The sequence below is a fragment of the Homo sapiens genome, chromosome 1 (genome assembly GCF_000001405.40).
Source record: "Homo sapiens chromosome 1, GRCh38.p14 Primary Assembly".
In the NCBI taxonomy this organism is placed as follows: Eukaryota; Metazoa; Chordata; class Mammalia; order Primates; family Hominidae; genus Homo; species Homo sapiens.
The window spans coordinates 63,792,063-63,815,375 of NC_000001.11; the positions used below are offsets into that span (position 1 = coordinate 63,792,063).

The 23,313-nt window shown below is 42.2% G+C and overlaps 1 protein-coding gene across 2 annotated transcripts in view, besides 1 other annotated feature; it reads left to right on the forward strand.

Moving 5' to 3' along the window:
* The window catches only part of ROR1 (receptor tyrosine kinase like orphan receptor 1), a 407,482-nt gene that overhangs the window by 18,046 nt on the left and 366,123 nt on the right, over positions 1–23,313 (forward strand). The window lies entirely within an intron of this gene.
* Positions 2,722–3,381: an enhancer, noted in NCBI's record as "OCT4-NANOG-H3K27ac-H3K4me1 hESC enhancer chr1:64260455-64261114 (GRCh37/hg19 assembly coordinates)". NCBI's record gives its function as "activates a minimal SCP1, AML or CMV promoter by ChIP-STARR-seq in naive H9 embryonic stem cells {active_cell/tissue: H9 hESC(naive)}" and the evidence as "EXISTENCE:reporter gene assay evidence [ECO:0000049][PMID:30033119]".

A 23,313-nucleotide genomic window follows, 5' to 3' on the forward strand; every position in this document is an offset into this window, starting at 1 on the left:
AAAGAGCTTGTAAAGGAGGTGGGGTGGGTGCTGTCGCATGGGGCAGTCTGGCAGGCCTCTAGGTTTAGGGGATTTGAGCAGAGAGACCTGTGTGAAGGGAAAGGGTGACCCCTGAGACTGTCTGAGGGAGGAGCAGTGAGTGCAGAGGCATTCAAAGCAAATGCCTTGAAATGGGAGTGTTATCAGTTTACAGTACAACCAGCAATTGCTTCTACTACCACTGGTAATATTTATAGAGTCTATACTGTGTGCCAGGCAGTATTCAGGTGCCGCGACAACCCTATTCGGTAGGTCCTATTTTTATCCTTCCCCCATGTCACAGATGAGGCATTCTTAGAACAAACCAAGCATCCAGATAATACGAAGAGGGAGCAGTTCTCATTTACATGGGGAGTGTATAAGTCACAGCCCTGCACAGAGGGAACAGTGTATGGTTTGGAAAGAAAAAAAATCTCAGTTTGGGCCTGGCCTGCTACTCATCTGCTGCTAGGGCAAGATGTTTCACCTCTCTGGGCTTCTGTTTCCTGATTTATAAAATGGGCTAATAAAATCTCAGAGGATTATTATGTATATTAAGTGAGAGATCCAAGTGAAAGAATGTTTCAAACTGCAGGGCACCATGAGAATATCACTTTATTCTTCTTCTTATTACGCCAATTCTCATTCCTTGCCTCTTGCAAAGAGAGAGAATGAGAGAAAAATGGAAACTTGCAACTTACTTAACTTCCTTGGTTCTTTCCCTGAAAACTTATTTTCTACTAATGTCTGTGGGAGTGAATTAACTAGAGTATCCAGTTGAATTAAGTATTTTGCTGAAAGATGAAGGGACTGTGAGATAAAGTTGGTGCCGAGGATTCTCACATTTCTAAAGGAATCACTTGAGGTGCTAGGACTCCCAGTCCACTCTTCCACAATACCAGACAACCTGTAATCCTCAGACCCAGAATCTTATGACAGCTTTCTCTGATTTCACATTGTGTAGATTAGCTACCCAAAAAAGTAAGTGGCCTCAAATAGTGCTGCCCTTTAAAATTATTCTATGCATTTGTCCCAGAGTCTTGTGGGATGAATGGCTAAATCCTACTGGATTAGGCGAGATGGGTATTATTATCTGGGGCTACAGAATGGAAAAACTCAGGTGAAGGAAGTTATCCCAAACTTCATAATTGATGGTGAGCCTGGATACTCATTCTCAAATCTGGTGAGGCATCGTTGGCTTCTACCATGATGGCGATGGTAAGCTCATTTGTCAATCAAATGATCGATTGGCAGTAGGGTGATGACAGTTAATAATAATCTATTATATATTTCAAAATAGCTAGAAGAGAATAATTAGAATGTTCCTAGCATAACATTATGGCTATCCCAGTTACCCTGATTTGATCTTTACGCATTCTATGAATGTACCAAAATATCACATGTGCTCTGAAAATATGTACATCTATTATGTGTCAATAAAAAAAGTTAACCAAATGATCGATGAACACCTACTATGTGCCAGGCACAGTGCTGGGTGCTGGCAATGCAGTGGTGAATGAGACAGGGACCTGGGTGCTTGCTCTAGGGAATGCCCTTAGGAGAAGCTCAGGGTATGTTTTTTTATTTGGAATGCTTGCTGATTCCCCTCCCAGGACCTCCAGAAAGAAGTGGTGGTTGCTTCAGCGGTCACTTGGTGATGACTGGCAGGTATATACCTGTGTAGCTGGCACATCTGGTGCCTGTGATCAGAGCCGAGCCATCCAGTCTGAGCTTTGTTTTTCCCAGTGCAGCAGTGGTTTCCTGCAGTAAGCTCCATCTTGGTTGTGCTGCCCTCCCCGCTGGGGTTGGGATAACAGCCTCCTGGGGACTGTGGCTAATCTCAGGAGAAGCAGAGACCCCAGGGAAAGACTCCTGTCTCCGTTGTGTGCACCTAGGATTAGATAGAACTGCCGCTAATGCAGTTAGGTAAAGGCAAGGGCCCTGGTTGCTGGGGAACCAGGAAGCACAGGGTGAGCTTCCCATCTGCTCTCAGTGAAGGACGTCCTCACTGTCACCGCTTCCTAGGGCCAAAGGGGCCTCTGACAAAGCTAATGTGACCAAAGTCAAAATATGGGCTCCGAGAGTCAGCCAAACCCATTCAACTAACTGTGATCTTAGGCAAACCTCAAAGCTTCGGTTTCCCCATCTGTAAAAATTGGGGTACTAATCATATCTACCTCATTACCTTTTGGTGAGGGCAAAAATCAGACAATGCTGACGGTCACTGGCATGTCCTGAGTGTGCATGGTGAGTCGTCCATCAACAAGAGCTCAGATGACCATGTTCCAGGTGAGGAACCCGAGGCCCACCCTGGCCTTGATCAGAAATAACCACCCTGAATTCCTCAGTGCCTGAGTCTGGCATCGAAACTGGCTTCCCCGGCCTCCAGCACTAGGCCACGAAGGAACCAGCTTCTTTCTCTCACTGGTGGTGGCCTGCTGTGCCCTGCTGGCTGGGTCCAGAGAGACAGAATGAGGAGGAGCTCAGGACCTGTTATCAGAGGCCAGAGGGCGGCTCTCCAGCTAGACTGCTAGCAGGACCGCAGTGATGGAATCACCTGAAGGTCTTCTTCAATTTCCTCATCTGTAAAATGCAGTGGCTTGACTGCCCCTTCCAGCCCTAAATTTGTTTTAGGAAGCCCACTGGAGGAAGCAGCGAGCAAGAAGGGAGCAGCGGAGGGAACATATCAATATGATGTAAGAATAATAGCTCCCATTTTGTAAGTCCTGACTGTATGCCCGGGACTGTGCTGGGATACACAGGGTCCAGAACATTATCCATTTTCTAGGGGCTCACGCACTCATGAAACTGGTGATAGTGGTGGGGTGCAGTCGTTTGGGGTGGGTGGAGAGACATAATAACCGGAGGAATTAGAATTTGTTTTGGTACATGCCTTAAGAGAGATCTGCACAGTGACTTGTGGACCCCAGACGAGGCTGCCTGTGTGTGCAGAGCCTCGAATGCCATGCAGTGAAGGGAGGTTGGAACCCTGCATCCAGGGAAGCGGACTTTGTGGTTGGGAGGGCAGGTTCAGGAAGGTTCTGGTGGGAGGGTTGGCAGCCAGGCTGGTGCTCCAGAGGGCTGATGGATTACATTCTTCGAGTTAGAAATCATCAGAAGCCCCGCTGAGAGGGCTCTTGTGGCTTTGGAGCTATGCCGGAGGTTCCCTCTTGCAAGGGGAAAAATTGGCTGTGCCTTTAAGTGTTATCCTCCTGTCCTCTTGGTTTCCTAGTGTGGCAAGATTCAAATCCAAAGTATTTGCATTGAATTTGTTAATTTCAACCAGTGGTAGAATAGAATAAGAAGTCTAAACAGCCATTTTTTCTTCCCTTGGAGGGTATGTTTTCTGACCTTTTAAGGAAAATCCTGTCGAAACCTTGAAAACTTGTGACTCTAGGTGCTGGATCTGACACTGGGTCAGGGACATATTGTGGACCTGCCGTGTGCTTGGGCCTGAGCTGAGCAAGCTCATGGAGTAAGCTCTCTTGAACTCTTAAGATCGTGAAAATACAGTTCCAAGCCACAGAAGCCCTTTGGAGTGATTCTGAATGGTGGGAGGGCAGAGAGGCTTTGAATGCTGTTTGAACACTTAGACTGCTAAGTACTACTCTTCAAACACTTCACGTGCCTTAGATGGTCTAGTGCAAAGGATATGCAGGAACATAAAATATCTTGCCGCTACTGGAATAGCCTTATCTTCTGCCTCAATATTGATTTAGAACAATAGCTTGTTTTGAACTTTCTCCCCATAAATTAAATTTTAATTTAGAAAATGCCATTAGGGGAAACTTAGTATGTAAGTACAGAAGGTTTTGGAGATGGGGGTGGCTGCTCAGAAGGGAGTCTTTAGAGATGACAAAGGTAAAAGCATTACTCTAATCAGAACATTTCATTAAAACCCCCATCAGACTAATCTGTCGACACATAGTATTTTGAGTATCTTTTGTTGGCAACATTCTGTGCTGGAAACTGGGAGAGAGAGAGTTTAGCTCTTGTCCTGTATGTATGTGCATATTTATATGTGTGTAGTATTGTCTTATATGGGAAAGGACGATGGGATTTTTTTTTTTCAGAAACATTTTTCCCTTCTACAAAGGATGACATCAGGGCATAGCAGAAAGAGCTCTGGACTGAAAGTCAATAAACTTGAGTTTATCTCCTAGCCCTACCTCTAACTAGCTGTGTGGCCCCACACAAAACACTTGCCTTCTCTGATCCTCAGGTTCTCATCTGCAAAGCAATAAGGTTGGACCAAGCCCTGTGTAGTGGCAGTGTCAACATCACCTGGGAGCTTGTTAGAAATGCAGAGTCTCAGGCTCCTCTCCAGAACTACTGGATCAGAAGCTGCATTTTAACATGATCCCAGGTGATTTATATGCAAATTAAAGAACCATGGCTTTAAAGAACCATTCCTGCTCTAGTAATGTATTATTTTGTGTTTTTTTCCAAATGCATATTAAAATATAGTTACGAAGAATTTATCCAAGACTGCATCAAACATTCTACATAAAATGGGTGTATCATCTCTTACCCTTTAAAAGTTTGTACTTTGTGAGAAAAAAGGTTTAAAGGCAGAAACAGGCACAAGCAGTCGTACATTCAGTTCCAGTGCTAGATATACATATTTCTTCCTTTTGCCTCCTTTGTGTTTTGGGCCTTGACAGTGTGGTAAGGGCAGCGGTGGAGAGAGGAGAGGAGGAGTTGCAGAGTCGAGGTGACTGAAGGTGGAAATGGCAATGCACCGAGCCCTGAGCTGGCAGGTGGTCCAGAGAGCAGCGGGCCCCAGCCCAGCTCCTCAGTATCATTGCAAGGGTTTTGAGAATCCAACATCATCGGTGATGAGAAAAATGTTTCACATTTTTCAAGCATATATGAAAGTGCTTTGATGAATTGAATAACAATTCATAGTGATTTTTTGATGTTCTATATTTTTTCTAATTAATTGATTCTAGATGTTAAACCTATTAGATGGGAAGAGGACTCTAGTTCATTTTTGCATTAAAAGGGTTCTTTCTTACTTGAAGCTGGTGGGAACTATTGGAAGAGGGCGTAATAATTAATAATGATGACAATAACTAACACATGCCGAGAACTTTCTAGGTGCCAGGCACTGTGCCTTGCAAAAAAGGACTTTGGGCATCTGTTAATTAATTTATGGATAAGGAAACCAAGGCTCAGAGTGGTGAAGTGACTTGCTCCCAGTCATCCTATGAGTAATTGGTGGATCCAGGCTAGAAACCCAGTGTCCTGGCTGTGGGGCCAGCTTTTTTTCTGCTGTGCCCGATTTTGTGGTTTGTCTCTCTGGTGCTCTGGAGTAGCATGTGTGGGAAGGCTGAACGGAGAGTCATGAATTTTCCCGAGTTCCTCCTCTGGGAATCACAGACTATCAGAGTCCGGAGGACTTTCAAAAGCATGCAGGCCACAAACTCCATTTACAGGTGAACACATCCAGCCCAGCAAGGGAAGGGAACTTGCTCAAGGTCAAACAATTAGTAGGGTTTATTTGTTCTGGTCTTCCTCTACCTGAAATTCAGCTCTATTTGAACAAGTGAAACAAGCCCTTCTATGAAAGCAAATGAACACGGTTTTGAATATTGTATCTCAGGTTGCTGTGAGGGCTATATATATCTTTAAAAAGGATTCAGCATAGCCACTGGTAGTTGATAAACACTCAAATGATGTTTGTTATGGTTATCATTTTTACTAAGCTTCACATATTAAATTTAGGGACACCTTTGTTGTTGTTGTTTTAAAGCAGGACTGATTGTAGTCTTGTCTTTTTTTTTTTTTTTCCATGTTCTCTATCTTCAGGATAACCTTTGAGAGGACAGACGACCAAATTCCTTTTCACTAAATACTGCACCACATAATCATTGGAAGCCATATACTGGCAAGGGAGAAAGTTGCCCTTTTGAGAGGCTGCATTCTTCATCTTATGAGCCCATGCCATGCCAGCCAGCTCTCATTGAGCTGAGAAGCTATCTTTTTGGCAGTAGGTCTCCTGATCATGAAGATTTGAATGGAACAGACATTTTCTGAGACTCAGTCAGGCATTTTTCCACTCTGCATACAATTGTTACCAATCTAGAGAAGTAGGAACTGGTTTAGAATCAGAGCCAGCTTCATAGGTATGCAACCTGTGCAACTGCGCAGACCATCCACATTGGAGCCCCCTGGTTGATTTGACGCTCTGCAGGGAAATTGGAATTCTTGATATTATTTTCAATAAGACGCCCCACTTTTTTATTTTGCACTGGGCCCATCAACTTAAGTAGGTACTCTTGGTTAGAATAATCTAGAACAGGACCAAGAGCCTGTGAGGAACAAGTCAGTGGGGGTTGCAGTTTTTGGGGGAGGAGGAGGAGGCCACAGACCTGACTCCTTGTGATGGGTCCTAGTATTATACATGGGCTTGAGCCAGGCAGCATGCAGTCCGCTGCCATAGAGAGGAGGTAAGCAGGGTGGTTTGTTGTCTTGTCCACCCATCACTTTGCCTTGTAAGTATAGACAAGACACTAACTGCTCTGCATGTCTCCTTTGTATCCCCAGCCCTGATCACACATAGTACCCAGCACATAGTAATCACTTAACACATTGTGGCTATTTACTTTATTGCTGCTCTAAAGTAGTCCAGAGATGAACCATTATTCCAGGGGCTTTACATGTATTATCTCTAGTTTTTCTGACAGCCTTTCAAGGTAGACATGATCGTCCCTTCTTTACAGATGAGGCAACTGAGACTCAGAAACGTTAAGCAAAAGTATCTCTGGTTCATCTCTGGACTACTTTGAAAAAATAGATGAAGTGTTGTGTGAGATGCATTATAAACTTTCCTATTTTTGGTGTCAGCACCATACTTTATATCTTGGCTATTCAGGGGCTTAACGTCAATTTCCCTGCTAGTAACCTCTTTCTTTTATTGATTCAACAGCTGGATTAACTTCCCCAGCATCATCATTTATTAGCCACGTAATCTTAAATACTTTTGCTTAATGTTTCTGAGTCTCATTTGCCTCATCTGTAAAGAAGAGATGATCATGTCTACCTTAAAAGGCTGCTAGGAAAACTAGAGATAATACATGTAAAGCCCCTGGAATAATAGTGACTGGCACGTAGTAGGTGTTCAAGTCACTTTTCTTATTATAAAGTTGACATACAAACAGCTTTCATTGTGTCATTTCCCTTCCTCAAAAATATCTTCAATGGCTCCCCATTGCCATGGCCATGGTGGATCAAAGCTCATCATGATCTAGCCATAGCCTACATTGTCTGACTTCTCTCACCAGTGTTTAAAAACTTCTCCAATGCTAGCTGTGTCTTGTTCCCCAGGCCACTGGAACCTCCTTGGCGACAGAATTCCATGTTATCACTTGAGTGCCTAGGAGCATGCCTGTCATAGTGTCTGTATGGCTGGTTGCTAATCACAGTGTATTTCAGGAATATTGTGCAATTCTGCTTTTTTCCCATTTGTTTATAGCTCTTAGTTCCTTCAAATTGGAAATGGATTATGGTTTTGCATTTGACTCAGGAAGAGGAAAAAAAACACCCATTTTTCCTCTCCTGTTTTTTTTTTTGTTTTTAAACAGCTAGTGTCACTCTTTTGGGATTATTTGTTTATATGTTTGTCTCTGTCTCTGGACTGTGAGGTCTGGGTGAGGAGGAATGGTGTTTAATTCTCATGTATATCTTCAGTGTTCAGCACATTGAGCCTGGCACAAATCAAAGAGACACTCATTAAATATTTGTCAAACTGATGAATATTGGAAAGCTCAAGTTTTTATGGCAGACGAGGGAGACAGTGGGAGCTGCCTTTTTATTGGAAAAACATTGTTTATTAGATCTGTATGGATCATTTAGAAAATATGCAGTTGGTTATCTTTTATGGTCAAAGAAGAAAATCAGTATAAAATGCTTAATTAAAAGCAGGAGCTAACATTTCCCCTAGTAACGAAGGCAGGCTTGTGAATATTTTCCTTTCCTTAGCTCAGGAGATGGGCAGGCAGCCAGGCTCAAAGATGGGGATGCTTCATAGACAGATGAGAAGGTTTGACTTAGGAGGACTGAGTCCCAGGGTTACCCTGGGTCCATTTTTGCTTTAATGTTTCTCCGCATGGATGTTGAAAATGTGAATGAAGAGTGTTAATTCCTTAAGATATTCTGATGACAATGTCAACCCCTTTAAGGTGATTTTGCTGTTACCTATAAAATTATCACTTGTTTGTGAATTGATTATAATGGCATATTTTCAGGAGTATGTTTTGTACTTTTAATTTGAGATTAAAAGCCCTAAGAAGTGTGGGTCTTTTTCTTATTCTTCTTGGTGCTCCTGTGCCTGACACAGAGCAGGCCCTTAAAAGATGTGATACCTGGAGTTCTTATTCACTTGGCCTCAGCAGAGTTGGCCCTTTCCTGGGTGTAGGAAACTGCTGAGGACTAGGAGCTGGGGAGGCAGAAAAGGCAATGATGTTCTGAATGTTTCTGCCACTGGAAGGAAATCAGGCCCTCTGAGACAGACAATGATTGGATGTGCTGCAGGACAGGAGGTCTGAGTACTGGCAGCATCCACATTACCTGGGAGCTTGCTGGAAATGCAGAATCTCAGATGTGCTCCAGACTTACTGAATCAGACACTGCAGTTCATCAAGATCCTCAGGTAATTCATCTGCACATTAACATCTGAGATGTGCTGCTCTGATGAGAAAAATCTGGGAACTTCCTCAACCTTGAGACTCGATAGTCTGGATTTTCGTAATTCTAGGATGTAGCATGGTGAAGTTTGACTGACCTTGAATCCCAGAGCTGCCACTGTGGGGATATTAATTAACCTTTTTAATCTCAGATGTTTTTCATCTATAAAAAGTATATGTTGGGTATTTTGCTAGGTTTTTTTTTTTTGGTGAGGATTAAATGAAATAATATAATGCTCTTGGCATATAGTAGGAACTTAATAAATATTACTTATTGCTGATTTTGTTATTTTATCTGAGCCCTGGTGTAGATGGTTTATTTATTTATTATGATAGGAGAAAATTGCTGTATTATTATGATTACAATGTTGTAATTTTGCATTAGTTTTATGTCATTTATATGATTTAATGAGTATTCTTAAAGAATTAAAAAGCATTTGCATGCTTTTGACCTCTTGTTTTAACCTGTTTTTGAATCTTCTACTCATAACATGGACGTATTATGTGGCTGTATTTATGGGTATCATGTTTTTGGTCTTTTTTTTGAGACAGAGTCTCGCTCTGTCACCCAGGCTGGAGAGCAGTGGCATGATCTCGGCTTACTGCAACTTCTGTCTCCTGGGTTTAAACAATTCTCCTGCCTCAGCCTCCTGAGTAGCTTGGATTACAGGCACCCACCACCACACCTGGATAATTTTTGTATTTTTAGTAAAGACGGGGTTTCACCATGTTGGCCAGGCTGGTCTTGAACTCCTGACCCCAAGTGATCCGCCCGCCTCAGCCTCCCAAAGTGTTGGGATTACAGATGTGAGCCACTGTGCCTGGCCGGGTATCATGTATTTTTTAAACACCACTGAATCACTTATATTTCATTTTGGAGATTTCTTCCTCCCATTTATTCTGATAATAATGATTAAGTAGCCTTTTTATCCAGCACTCATTAGACAGTTAATGAAAAAGGTTAGTTAAAATAGGGAGTGAGGAAATAGTGAAGAAATGAAATTAACTATTTTATCTCACTTTAACTGCCTAGCTGTACATTCATTTAATCATGTAGCTTTTCCTTTGAGCTGGGTCTGATGTTTGGAGGGTGCTGTCTTCTTTCACAACCACACCTAACCTGTAATACATTTTCTGTGGTATCCAGCTTTGTTTTCTCTAAAGTGGATAGAAGCTGAAAGACACAAGTAAAGCACTGTAAATGGGGAATTCTTTTAGATACGTATAATGCCCCCCCATGTGTTTATCCTTGTCTTAGAGTTAACACAGTGGTAATTATTTGGTTGGGGGAGGGGAGGAGGTTATTTTTATTTCACTTTCCAAAGAATTGGGCTTAATTTTCACAGAAGCAACAACTCGTCTTATACTCTTGTTTTATTAATTTAAATTCTGTAAAGTACACAATTTCCAAAAAATTATATAGCTGAAACTGTATAACAAGCTTTGGGATCAAACCCTACTGAATCTTGTCAGAATAGAACTCAAGAGGTGGGAATAGTGCATGGCTTGTCCAGGAGCATCCACGGAGCATCCTTGGACACTAGGTGGGGTGCTCTATAGAGGGAATGGAGAGCCCTGCCCGATCTAGTGAGTTAGTTATGTGGAGGTTGGTTAAAAAAACTTCTATATTTGTTTATTTGCATGCTACTTTACAGTTCTTGAAGTACTTTCAAATTGATTTTCTCATTTAATTTTTACAATGCTCATGAAATAAGCAAGGCAAGAATTTAGAGGTGGGAAAATGGAGGTTCATAGAAGTTGAATTGTGTGACTATGAATAAGTAATTTCCTTGAAGGTGCGTTGGAAGCAGAGTTCAGATTTTTCAGTCTTAAGCCAGATCTCTACCCTCTCTTCTCGATTGCCTCTTTTCTTGCTGTTTTGAAAGCAGTGATGAGACTTTGATTTTATTTAGATATTTATAATTTTCTTATAGCATTATGTTACCATCATAGGGCATATCAGTAATAGTAACATACTACATATGTCAATGTTAGACATTTAATCACCTCTAGCAACCTACAAGCAAATAAAGAGACAAAACTCCTCTGGACCAGCACTGTCCAATAAAATTATAATTTGAGCCACATATGTAGTTTGAAATTTTCCTTTGGGCACATTACAAAACAAAAAAGAAACAAATAAAATTAATTGTATATTTTCTTTAACCCAGTAAATCCAAAATATCATCATTTCAACATGCAATCTTTATAAAAATTCTTCTTGTGATATTTTGCACTCTTCTTTTTGTACTAAGTCTTTCAAATCAGGTGTGTAAATTGCTTTACAGCACAGCTTATCTCAGACTAGCCATATTTCAGGTGCTCACTTGCCACATATGTTGAACAACACACCTCTGAACTTTAAGAAGAATATTGTAACAAATGCAGGCATGTGAACACTTGGAGATACAAGCCTCTAATACTTTGGGGCCATTTAATTTCGAGACAAATAGTTTTACAGATTTCGGTGGCTCCTAATAATGACTCCAAATCATTAAAAATAAGATTAAATTATCTACATTGTATTTAAGAGGGCCGAGTATGGTATGAAATATGTATTTAGAAAACTCTCCATCAAATTTTTTTTTTTTTTTGAGATGGACTCTCGCTCTGTCGCCCAGGCTGGAGTGCAGTGGCGCAATATCGGCTCACTGCAACCTCTGCCTGCTGGGTTCAAGCAATTCTCCTGCCTCAGTCTCCTGAGTAGCTGGGACTACAAGGCGTGTGCCACCATGCCCGCCTAATTCTTAATATTTTTAGTAGAGATGGGGTTTCACCATGCTGGCGAGGCTGGTCTTAAACTCCTGACCTCGTGATCTACCCGCCTTGGCCTCCCAAAATGTGGGGATTACAGGCGTGAGCCACCGCGCCCGGCCCAAAAATATTTTTAAAAAAGGTTTGACATATAACCCAGCCATTGTACTCCTGGACATTTGTCCCAGAGAAATGAAAACTTATGTCCACATAAAAGCCTTTACAGGATTGTTCATGGCAGCCTTGCTTGTAATAGCCAAAATCTAGAAACAAACCAAATGCCCTTCAGTGGGTGAATGGTTAAACAAACTGTGCTACATCCATACCGTGGAATACTACTTCACAATAAAAATAAATGAACTGTCGATGCACTCAACAACTTGGATGGGTCCAAAGGGAATTGTGCTGAGTGAACAAAGACTCAGCAAAACTCAGTGAAAATAATGTTTTACTGGGTAAAAAATTATGAGACATTAAAAAAAGTACCCTTTTGAGATTATGCTGAGTAATCTCTAAAGGTTATATTTATAGAACATTCCCAAAATAACAAAATTGAAGAAATAGAGAACAGATTAATGGTTGCCAGGGTTAGGGACTCAGGAGGGGGGCGTCCTGGGAGGGGGATGGCTGTGGCTGTGAAGGAGGATCATGAGGCAACTCTGTGGTGGTGGAACAGTCCTGTATTGTAATTGTAATGGTGGTTACATGAACCTATATGTGATAAAATTGCACAGAACGCACACACTCACACACAAACACACATGAGTGCATGTCAAACTGGTCCAATCTGAGTAAGGCCTATGGATGTACCAATGCTGATTTCCTGATTTTTCTATTGTATTAGTGTTATAGAAGATGTTACCAGAGGGCAAAACTGGATGACGGGTATGTGAGACCTCTCTGTGCTATTTTTGTAACTTCCTCTCAATCTATACTTATTTCAAATTAAATAAAAGCCTGGTGCTTGAATAGATGTTCTATTATTTGTAAAGCCTCCTTCCTAGAACTCTACAGTGAAGAACCCCAGTGAAGATGTATGAATGAGGATGAGCGTGGACATCTGTTCAGGGACCCTTTTAATTTTATTTTATTTTTACCGTTCTTTATTTATTTTTAATTATACTTTAAGTTCTGGGATACAAGTGCAGAACGTGTAGGTTTGTTACATAGGTATACATGTGCAGGGCTGCTTTTTCTACAAGCTTGGGGCTGGGCTTATCTCAGTGCAGAGGGGAATGGTTGTGGCCTAGCTGCAATCTCTCCCCTAAATAAGAAGGGACCCCATTCTTGTTCCAGTTTCTTGTTAAGGTCACTGCAGCAGAGGATGCCATCTCTAGGCTCCTGAATCAGAATGTCCCCTGAGGTGCCATTGGGCTGTTTGACCCCACCTTGGGAATGCTAGAGCCTGAGATCTTGTCACTTGCTCTTCACATTTTCATATTAATGTGTCACTGGCTTTCAGCAGTTGCCTCTCAGTAATGCATTTAGTCCCTGGTGAGTATTTCATAGCCAGATGAACTTTAATCCCTGAATGCGCTGAAAGGGAGGGTTCCTTTTCCTCTTTTGAAGATTCTGCTCCCCTGTAAGAAAAGTGCATGATTTAATTAGTGGATGAAAGAAAAGGGCCCAAATGGAGCCAAAAAAGAGTCAGCAGCATTGCCACCCACCTGCAGACACACAATAGGATAAAAGCAGCACCTGATCAGGGAGGGGAAGGAACGAGGAGGGAGAGGGACAGGCTTGGCCGTGGGTGTAGCCCGGAGTTGGGAAGCCCGTGGCCCAGGATCAGGTCAGCCACTGGCTCAGTGTGACCTTGGAGCTCAGCCTCTGTGGGATTTGTTTTCTCATCCTTTTAAAATGGAGATGGTAGTATAGATCCTTCCTACCTCCAGAAACATGTAGACAGCAGAAAGAAGATGGGGGCAAATCTATGAAAGTATAAAATGCACTATAAAAAAGTATAATGCAGTTTATAAATGATTGCTCCTAATGCATCAACTGGAGTGAAACTAGCCAGAGTGTAAGAGAGGAAAGAGGGGAAGATGCAGAACTCTGTTCTTGTATCTTTTTTAAAAAGCACAAAAAGGTGATGTCTTGGTAAAGAGTAGAAGTTTGACATGTTTTGTCGTGATAAGAATAGAATTACTGTGGTGACTGTCCATTTATCCACTTGGGATCCGAGCATTCCAAAGTATAAGATGCTTCATTACAGGCCGGGTACAGTGGCTCATGCCTGTAAGCCCAGCCACTTTGGAAGGTGGAAGCAGGAGGATCTTTTAAGGACAGGAGTTCATGACCAGCCTGGGCAACATAGCAAGATCCTGTCTCTATAAAATATATTTAAAAAATTAGCCTGGTGCAGTGGAATGCACCTGTAGTCCCAAATACTAGGAAGGCTGAGGTGGGAAGACTGCTTGAGCCCAGGAGTTCAAGGCTGCAGCCCAATATGATTGCATGACTGCACTCAAGGCTGGGCAACAAAGCGAGACGCTGTCTCAAAAAATAAATAAAAATGCTCCTTGGCTGTATAAGACATATTTTATTGCCCTTTTGGAGATTTATAATGAGCACATTAAAGTTTTGGAAAAATCCTGCAACAAAGAAATCCGTTTTACTTTGTTTAGTTCAGTAACTCCTTAGTTTATTATCCATGGACCCCTCTCCTGTGCCCTGTGACTTCCTCCTAACTTGTTACATAGCCTGGTCAAGTGCGCTGGAACAAGGGTACTGCTCTGCAGAATTCTGAACTGAGTTCCTGGGGTTTTGTTGTTAGCTTGTTTGTGACTGTCAGACTATTTTTTTTTTTTTTTTTTTGAGATGGAGTCTCGCTCTGTCGCCCAGGCTGGAGTGCAGTGGCACAATCCCAGCCCACTGCAAGCTCCACCTCCCAGGTTCACGCCACTCTCCTGCCACAGCCTCCTGAGTAGCTGGGACTACAGGTGCCCGCCACCACGCCCTGCTAATTGTTTGTATTTTTAGTAGAGACGGAGTTTCACTGCGTTAGCCAGGATGGTCTCGATCTCCTGACCTTGTGATCCGCCCGCCCTGGCCTCCCAAAGTGCTGGGATTACAGGCGTGAGCCACCGCGCCTGGCCCAGACTATTTAATTTTTGTAAATAATTTAGTGTTTTGTTTTTGTTTTTGTTTTGGCCTCAAGGAAACTCAAGGAAAATTTGTACCTCATGGTTAGTTTCCATTTTAGAATACTGTGACCTTTGTATCTTTGTATTGTTTTTCAAGTTTTCTTTCCTTGTCTTGACAGATTCACAGGCCCTGACTTAAAAATTCTTGTTACTGTATTGCTTGTTGTATCATAAGCCATTTCAGAATCTGCCTGGATTGAGATGGGCTATGAATATAATTAAGAAACAAAAACAAACTAATAAAATTACAATAACAACTCTTTTTTGAGGGCCTGTCATTTTTCAGGCATGGTACTGGGTTCTTTGCATAAATGATTTCTTCCTTAATGTGATCAAGGTGTTCCTCAGTTTTGTCCTAGGAGGTTTTAGATCTCACGGTTCTAATTTAGTTTCTCAGAGTCTTACAACTGGGAGGGACTTTTGAGAGCATCTGACCCTAAGAAATAACCTCCAGGGAGATGAAAGTCTAAACCAGCCAGGACAGATGGTCTTCTGAGACTCTCCATGGCAACCTGCAGCTAATCTCTGCCCTTCTGCCACTTCTGGGAAAATTGCTTTACGGAAATGCTGTTTTAACTGGGAGCATGAAATCACTAATGATGGGCAAGGTGGGGGTGGCTGGTTTGTGTTTGGGAAATTAAGGTTCAGTGCCTGTCTCTCTGGGGGGAGCAGCTGCTGTGAGCCAGGATTACCTAGGACAGTTTCTGTCTGATGAGAGAAGGGGACAATGCCTTCCTCCACTCAGGTGGGTGAAGGAGGACTCTCACATGTGCTGAGTTTGTGCTAGCATCAGTCTTTTCATTGCCCTGCCTTCACATACCCCAGCATCTCATCTAAGATGTGTCCTGCTGACATGAGCCAAGTAATGTCATTCTTCCTCATCCAGAGCCATTTCTGGCTGTCCCAGGCTTTAGAGCGATTTCCCTCACTTGGCATAGGTCTTTGCAATATTTTGTTATATCATCTTTCCATGTGTAAGCCCCATCTTGTCTCCTTGTGTAGACTGGGCACTCCTGAAGGCAGGGATGATGCCCTACGCATGGTTGTTTCTCAAGTTACTGTTCAGTACCAGGTGCATATTGGTCCTGGGGTGGGGATATTTATTGTTGCTGCTGGTTGGCATCAGTATTTGGTAAATAGAGTGGAGGGATCTGTGCTGGTCTCTGGAGATACAAAGATGCGTGGACACTTTTCAGTTCATAGTAATAACTGAGTTTCTTGAGGGGAGGGACTGAAATTTATTCATGTCTCTCCAACACTGTACCTGGCATATTGAACTGTGGCAGAGGCTGCTACTTGTTCTTCCCAATATTATTATTATTAGTGGTAGTTGTAGTAATAGTATTAATAGTAGTTTTCCCTCTCCTTCTCTCTTTCTTCCTCTTCCTCCAACTCCTACTCTCCTTCTCTTTCTTCCTCTTCTTCCTCCTCCTCCAATAGTAATAGGAACTTTACCTGGGCACGTTTGCCAGCTTTCCTTGCAGCTGAATATGGTCATGTGAGGTTCTGGTGAAAGAGACATAAACAGAGGTGATAATTGTAACTTCCAACTTGTGCTTTAAAAGGAAAGCAGTGGGCCATCTCCTTTTTCTCCTTCTGTTGGGCTGGAGCACAGCTCTATCTTTGACCATATGAATAAAGGTCACACTTTTGGGATGGCAGAGCAACAAAGTGGAAGGAGCCTGGGTCCTCATCCTTGCTGAGCTGTTGCCATGACCCTAGACTGAATAACTGAACTGTTTTTATTTGTAAAGTAACATTTACATGAGAGACAAATATACTTCTATCTTGTTTAAACTTTTCTACCTTTGGGTACAAAAGGCACTTATTATAGCTGCCTAGTCTGTATTCTGATCAATTCAGGAGGTATTGATAAATGTCTGTTAAATGGATGAATGAATTTCTGCCTTCCCTTATTATTGAGCAGCTTTAATAGTGGTCAGCGCATACATTTAAATTGAGAAAGGAGGTTTCCCAGGTGACTTTCACCGTATTTCATTGGCCAGAAATGTGTCATGTGGGTCTCTCTGGCTGCAAGGAGGCTGTGGATGTGAGTTTTATTTTCCAGTCACTGTAGATGAAGAAGGCAGAAAAGGGGTAGGAAAAAGGAGGAATGAGTGAACCAATCTATAGTACCTATCAGCAGTCACATATAAGAAAATTAGTTTTCATTTATGTTTTTTTTTTTTTAAAGAATATAAGCCACCTAATTTGAGTATTGCCAAGAAGAGATGTACTTCTTATCCTAGTTGAACCAGATTTTGGGAAGACAAGATGTTTTCAAAAGAGTAGATAATTATCAGCGTGGACCTTGGGGCTAGATGTAGTCATCTTGTCACACAACTTGATTCATGGCCATTTGGAACTGTCTACAATGGGATGGATGTTGATGCTGAGGCCACCTGGTGCTTCAGTGTCTTAAATGCTTTCTTTGGGGCCACAGCCAATTCCAGGCAAGGCATGGCAATCCCATAGTTTGTAGGTGATATGGAAAAGGTAGTGTCAGGGCAGTCAGAAACCCTCAGCAAATACTTAAGTACTTCTGTGCACCAGCAATGCTAGGTACCAGGGAATCCCATAAATGATCTCTCTGCCATCAAGAGGGAGATGAAGAGATAAACTGATGAGTCCCCCACAGGGTAATGAATGCCATATAGAATGTCTGTGAAGAGTATTGGGAACAAAGCGGGAGAACAAGACAGAAAGTTTCCCTGGAAGAGCAATAGGAGGTACCTGGAGCCTCTATATTTAATTTCTAAAGAGATTCTAAAACAGTGGGTCTGAAATATATAGTCTGCTTCCAAATTGGGTTTAAATTAGCATCTTGTGTATCATATATACATTGTACTTGTTACTCTGGGGAATGGAGAGTTTCAAAGAAGTCTAGAGTTGAAGCATTGTCCTTTTCTCTGTCTAGGGGAGACGCTTAAGCAAACGTGAATGTACTTCCAATGTGGCATCTAAGCAGAGAGACCATGGAAAGGCCAAGTTTTAAGAATTGAGTGTTTCTCCTTTCGATTAAAGAAAGAAAGTTGCTCATGAATATATGTCACTTCAGGCAAGGGGCATGGGATCCTGAAAATATCTGTGTCAGAAAATCTTTGCAAACAAAAATCCTCTTCCACACCTTTCCAAAGTCAAGAATACGTTGGACATTTAACATTTTAGGTTTTGGATTTTCTTAAAGCAAGGCACACAAGAAGATCAAAGAAGGTGCATTGACATGTTGGCAAAGAAGAAGCATGAAATTCAATTCTGTGGAACTCATTTTACCAGAGAAATTTCATAAAACAAAGTAAACTTATCAGTGGTTTAAGTTGCCAACCCTTGGATTCCAATGCAACAAGCAGGATGGATGCAGGCAGCTTGCCCAGGTTCAATGGAGTTTAAAGGCCAGGTGTTTGTGTAGGGGAAGGAAAAACATTGTCCTGCTCAGGAAAAATGTATTCAAATAAGAAACGAGAAACCCATTTTGAGAATTTAGTGCATATGTTCATTTTACAGGTGTGTTGGGAAATTATCGGCAAATGAATGGATTTGGTCACAAAGCCTTTGGGTTGATTTGGGGGAGGAATGTTGCTTCTTGGGAAACAGCCAGAGGAGGCAAAAGATATTTTTGGGAACATTCTAAGGCATTCTCTTTCCTCTTTTTTGTTGATGGCTTCCAAGTTGTCTAGCCCTGAATCTCTTATGTGCATTGGGGAATTACATAGCGGTAGAAGGCACGCATCATTTCTTTACTTAACTATGTGTCCAGAACCATTGTTGAGTTCTGGAGATGAACAGACACACTTCAGCCTTTAATGAACTGCTAGGCAGGAGGGGGAAACACACATGTAATCTAAATAATGTAATGTAATGCCATAAGTGGTGTAAAGGCTTGTGGTTTTGGAGAAGAGGAACAGATGAACTGTCCAGAGGACATTAGAGAAGCCTTCACAGAAAAGATTATATTTGAGCTGGATACTGAAGGATCTTGAAGGTGATTGCCAGGAAGAAGGGAGGAAAGGGCAGACCAGATGGAGGTATCCACGTATGCAAAGGCATGGAGGTGTGAAACATGATGCCTCTAGGGGATGTCTCATTTAGCTGGAACACGGGTTTTGGGAGGCCCATGGAGGCTATTTTGGGAAATAATACTGGATTGCAAATGGCCTGATATGCTTGCTAGTCTACAAATCTAAACTTAATCTTTTAAGAAGTAAATAACTTCTCTGTAGGAAAGTAACTACAAACGGTAAAGAAAGACATGCTTGTCAAAAAGGCCAGAACTCCTGAATGTGGACCCCAGGAACTCACATGTACTATCTGGTCTCCCCCAGGTTCTGCAAGGACATCAAAGACCTGAATTTTGCCTAGAAACTGACCCTAAGAGAGACAGGAAGTAGTGAGAGGATACAGACCCAACCGACTGTAGAAAACTGTGGGATTGAGGTTAATATATAATTTGCTTTAACTTGGGTGAATGTGGAATAAGGAGAGTGGCAAAATGTTAAGTTCATACTCATCTGTTTATAATTGTGTGCTCTGAGCACCCTTTCCTTTAAAGTGGGCTGCACACACAGAGAAAGAAACATTTTTCACACAGTTTGGACCAGTGCCTGAAAAGCTCAGACTCGGAGCGTCCAGGAGCTGAGATGCCTGTGCTGGACAGCCCCTGATTGGAGAGGAGTTAATGATCAGTGCCCCTAAAATTGTCACATAGGCAGCTGATTATGAGAAATTGGTCCAGCTGTTTAGGTTACTTTTGAGATCAAAATTTTGTGTTTTGTCAGGGGAGTGAGTTGTCACAAACCCCATGTGGCCAAGGAGAGACTACTAGCCTGCCCTTGTGCCAAAATGTTGCAAGCTTCTGTGGGCAGCTGATTTTAGTAGACCTTATAGGGAAACCCCTCACTCCATCTTTTTTTTCCCCTCCTTCCTACACTGAGATGTAGCAGGAAGGACCCTGGCCTTTGGGACTGGAGGTGTGGTTAGCTGGAAGTAAGTAAGGTTCTGCTAGTTCCCTGGTGAACATAGAATGGTACTTCTTTCTGTCTCCTCATCTGTGAGGTAAAAACATTCAGAGACTCAGTGTTTCTTATGACATTGATAAGCTAAGGTTCCACTCCCCTTTCTGGCCTGTTTTGAGTTTTCCCTGTATACTCAGTGAGTGCATATGATTTAGAAAGGTCTGGGTGGCTCAGGCAGTGGGTGTGAGAAGAGCTGCCTCACTTTGGGCTCTATGTCCTTAGGTCCAGGTTGGGATCAAGTCCAATAAGCTAAAGAAGGCTTTCGGGAAATAAAACCAGAGGTGTTTTTTTTTTTTTTTTTTGAGACAGAGTCTCGCCCTGTCTCCCAGGCTGCAGTGCAATGGTGTGATCTCAGCTCACTGCAACCGCCACCTCCCGGGTTCAAGCAATTCTCCTGCCTCAGCCTCTCCAGTAGTTGGGATTATAGGTGTGTGCCGCCACGCCTGGCTAATTTTTTGTATCTTTAGTAGAGACAGGATTTCACCACGTTGGCCAGGCTGGTCTCGAACTCCTGACCTAGTGATCTGTCCGCCTCAGCTTCCCAAAGTGCTGGAGTTCGCTAACCAAGGCCTGCAGGCCAAATTTGGCCTGAGGCCTGTTTTTATAAATAAAGTTTTGTTGGAACACATTCACCCACATGCATTTACATATCATCTGTGATTGCTTCCATGCTACCATGTCAGAGTTGAGTGGTTGTAACAGAGACCATGTGGGCTGCAAAGGTGAAAATATTTACTAGCTAGCCCTTTACAGAAGAATTTTGCTAACTAACCTGTCCTAGATCATAAACTCTAGGAGGGCTGGGGACATTGAAGGTAGTCAGTAAGTTTTGACTGAATGAATGAATGAATGAATGGATGAATGAATGAATGGTCAGGAAATTGGAATTTGTTGGATATGTAATTTGACAGCAGACTTTTAATGACACACTTCAGGTTCCATTTTCCCTTTAAATAAAATAAGAACAGTGCTACCTATGAAACAGGCAGTACTTAGGAGGATTATTTCCCATAATATAACTTTGGGTGTTTAAAATGCTATTAAAAATATAACTACCATCTATGAAGCTTTGTATGTGTTGAGCACTTTATTAAGAGCTTTATTTTTATTACCTCTTTTAGTCCTCACCGCCACCCACTGTGAGGGAGGAATTATTGATCCTAGTTTATAGATGACAGAGCTGAGTCCAGAGAGGCTGAGTTACTTGCTGAGGTCACAGAGCTGGTAAGGCATTGAGCACAGGGTCCAACTCCAGGGTGTCTGGTTCTAAAGGCTTCCCATCATGCCCCATTGCTTCTGAGTGCTGTTAGGTGCTTCCCACCACTTTTTTAAATAAAAGAGACAGATATCAATTTTGGAGAGGGGTCTTCAAGATAGAAACAAATGGCAAAAAAAAAAAAAGTTGGTTATCAAATCTTTTAAACCATTTATGTGATTTAGAAAACTGTGAAGTTACTCATCATTAGAAGTGCACTTTAAAAAATTCTCTTCCTTAAGGTTCAGCTCAGTGTGCTTCATGGAAAAAACTAAATGGGGGAGCATGTTTTCTTTGGGAAAAACAAAATAGGTAAGTTTTAGGGATTTGTAGAATTTTCATTTGTTTAGCAATGGTGTACGTAGTGGTAATACACATTCAAATGCTGCCTTCTCCCAGAAACCTTCTGCCAATTCCGCACATCACTTGGAACTGGGTACCTAGCACATAGCAGACATTCAATAAATATTGATTGAATGAATGAATTAGTACCTTCTAGCATTTCACACATATTGCCTTCCAGTATACTTGGTTTTATGTGAATGTGTGCCCTTACCTATTATAGCATAAGCACTAGAAGAGCACTGGTACCCTGCCCACTTCTTTGTACCCCTTATGGTACCTACCTAGCACAGGGCTGGAACTGAGTAGATGCTCAATGAACATTTGTGGAATTATGCTGTGGCCCCCAAATTATTTTGTGGCCCCTAAAGCTTTGCAGCTGAGTGAATGGCCCATTGAAAACTAGCACGATGATCAGATGGACTTCTCTCTGTCTAAGGGCATTGATTGAGACCCACATTTATATTGAGGGTGGAAATGTCCAACAAAGACAAAGAAAAGCATATTTATTGCTTTAGATAGAAGTCATATTTGTTTCTTTCACTCTGGAAGATATAGTCACATAAGGTCATGAGCTATTTTTTCTTCCTACTTAATTGCTAGTCTGTGGGTTGGTGAAAGCTCACATGCTTAGCTTTTCAGTGAAACTTTCACAGTCCATGTGGCTCTGACTCAGAATTTTTTCCCCTATCTGCTTCTTCTGTTGCCAATTCATTGTTTATCTCCTTTGTGTTTTACATCTGACCTATTATTTTGCATGCTGTTTTGGATTACTGAGGTAGCAACATCCAAATAGTTTCTGTGTACATTTTAGCTTTTGGGAGTCAGGCAGCTGCTCTGGGGCCTGTTTGAGTCAGGTCAGGGTCAGAAATGCCCTTCTGCTTTTGTTTCCGTGGAAGAAGTTGGCCTGGAACTCTCTCTGGGCACCTTCTGCGCCCTCTGGCAACCAGAAAAGCAAAGTCGTTCATCAAAATCTCAGACTGGAGCAACTCCTTAAAACAGCTTCCACAGTTCTTGCACATACTCCTTTCTTGATTTGTTGCATATCATTTCAGGCACCTCTTTTAATGCAGCTATTCAGGCTGCCTAAGGCAGTGGTCCCCAACCTTTTTAGCACCAGGGACCAGTTTTGTGGAAGATAGTTCTTCCACCGATGGGGTGGGGGTGGTGGTTTGGAGATGATTCAAGCACATTACATTTATTGTGCACTTTATTTCTGTTATTATTATATTGTAATATATAATGAAATAATTATATAACTCACAATAATGTAGAATCAGTGGGAGCCCTGAGCTTGTTTTCCTGCAACTAGATGGTCCCATCTGGGGGTGATGGGAGACAGTGCCAGATCATCAGGCATTAGACTCTCATAAGGAGCACGCAACTTAGATACCTCGCATATGCAGTTCACAACAGGGTTCGCTCCTATGAGAATCTAATGCCACCACTGATCTGACAGGAGGTGGAGCTCAGGCGGTAATGCAAGTGAGGGGGAGCAGCTGTAAATACAGATGAAGCTTCGCTCACTTGCCCACAGCTCTCCTCCTGCTGTGCAGCCAGGTTCCTAACAGGCCATGGACCAGTAGGAGACCCTGGCCTAAGGGACCAGGACAGTGGCCAGTGCTTTTCATAGCCTCTTAGTACTTCTGGTGGAGTGTCTCTATTCCCCTCAATTCCCTCCTATTCCGCTAGGAGTTTGAATCTGCTTTGCCCAGTTCTGTCCTGCCAGCCTTTTTCCTTTCACTGAATTGCCTTCACTTTTTGCCTATTAGCTTTGATCTCTTTGGAAAAAAGGGCACTGGGGTATTATTACTGCCTCTGTTTGTTTTTGCAAATGCACTATGATTTGTGGTTGGTCTTTTGGCTAGCCTGAGGCTACCTGACCCTCCCTCAACAGCCCTAGTTCCCCCAGGTCATTCTATAGTTTTGCCCATTTCTTTAATTAATGTTGGTGAGAGTCTCCGAGCAATGAAGACTTTTTGGATATGGAGAGAAGCAGAACCAGAGGGATACCAGTAATTATGCTAATCTGAGAGCATTAAGTCTTCAAATATACATTTTTGGATAAGCAATTCTGTTGTTTTTGAAGTTTGGTTGTCTTT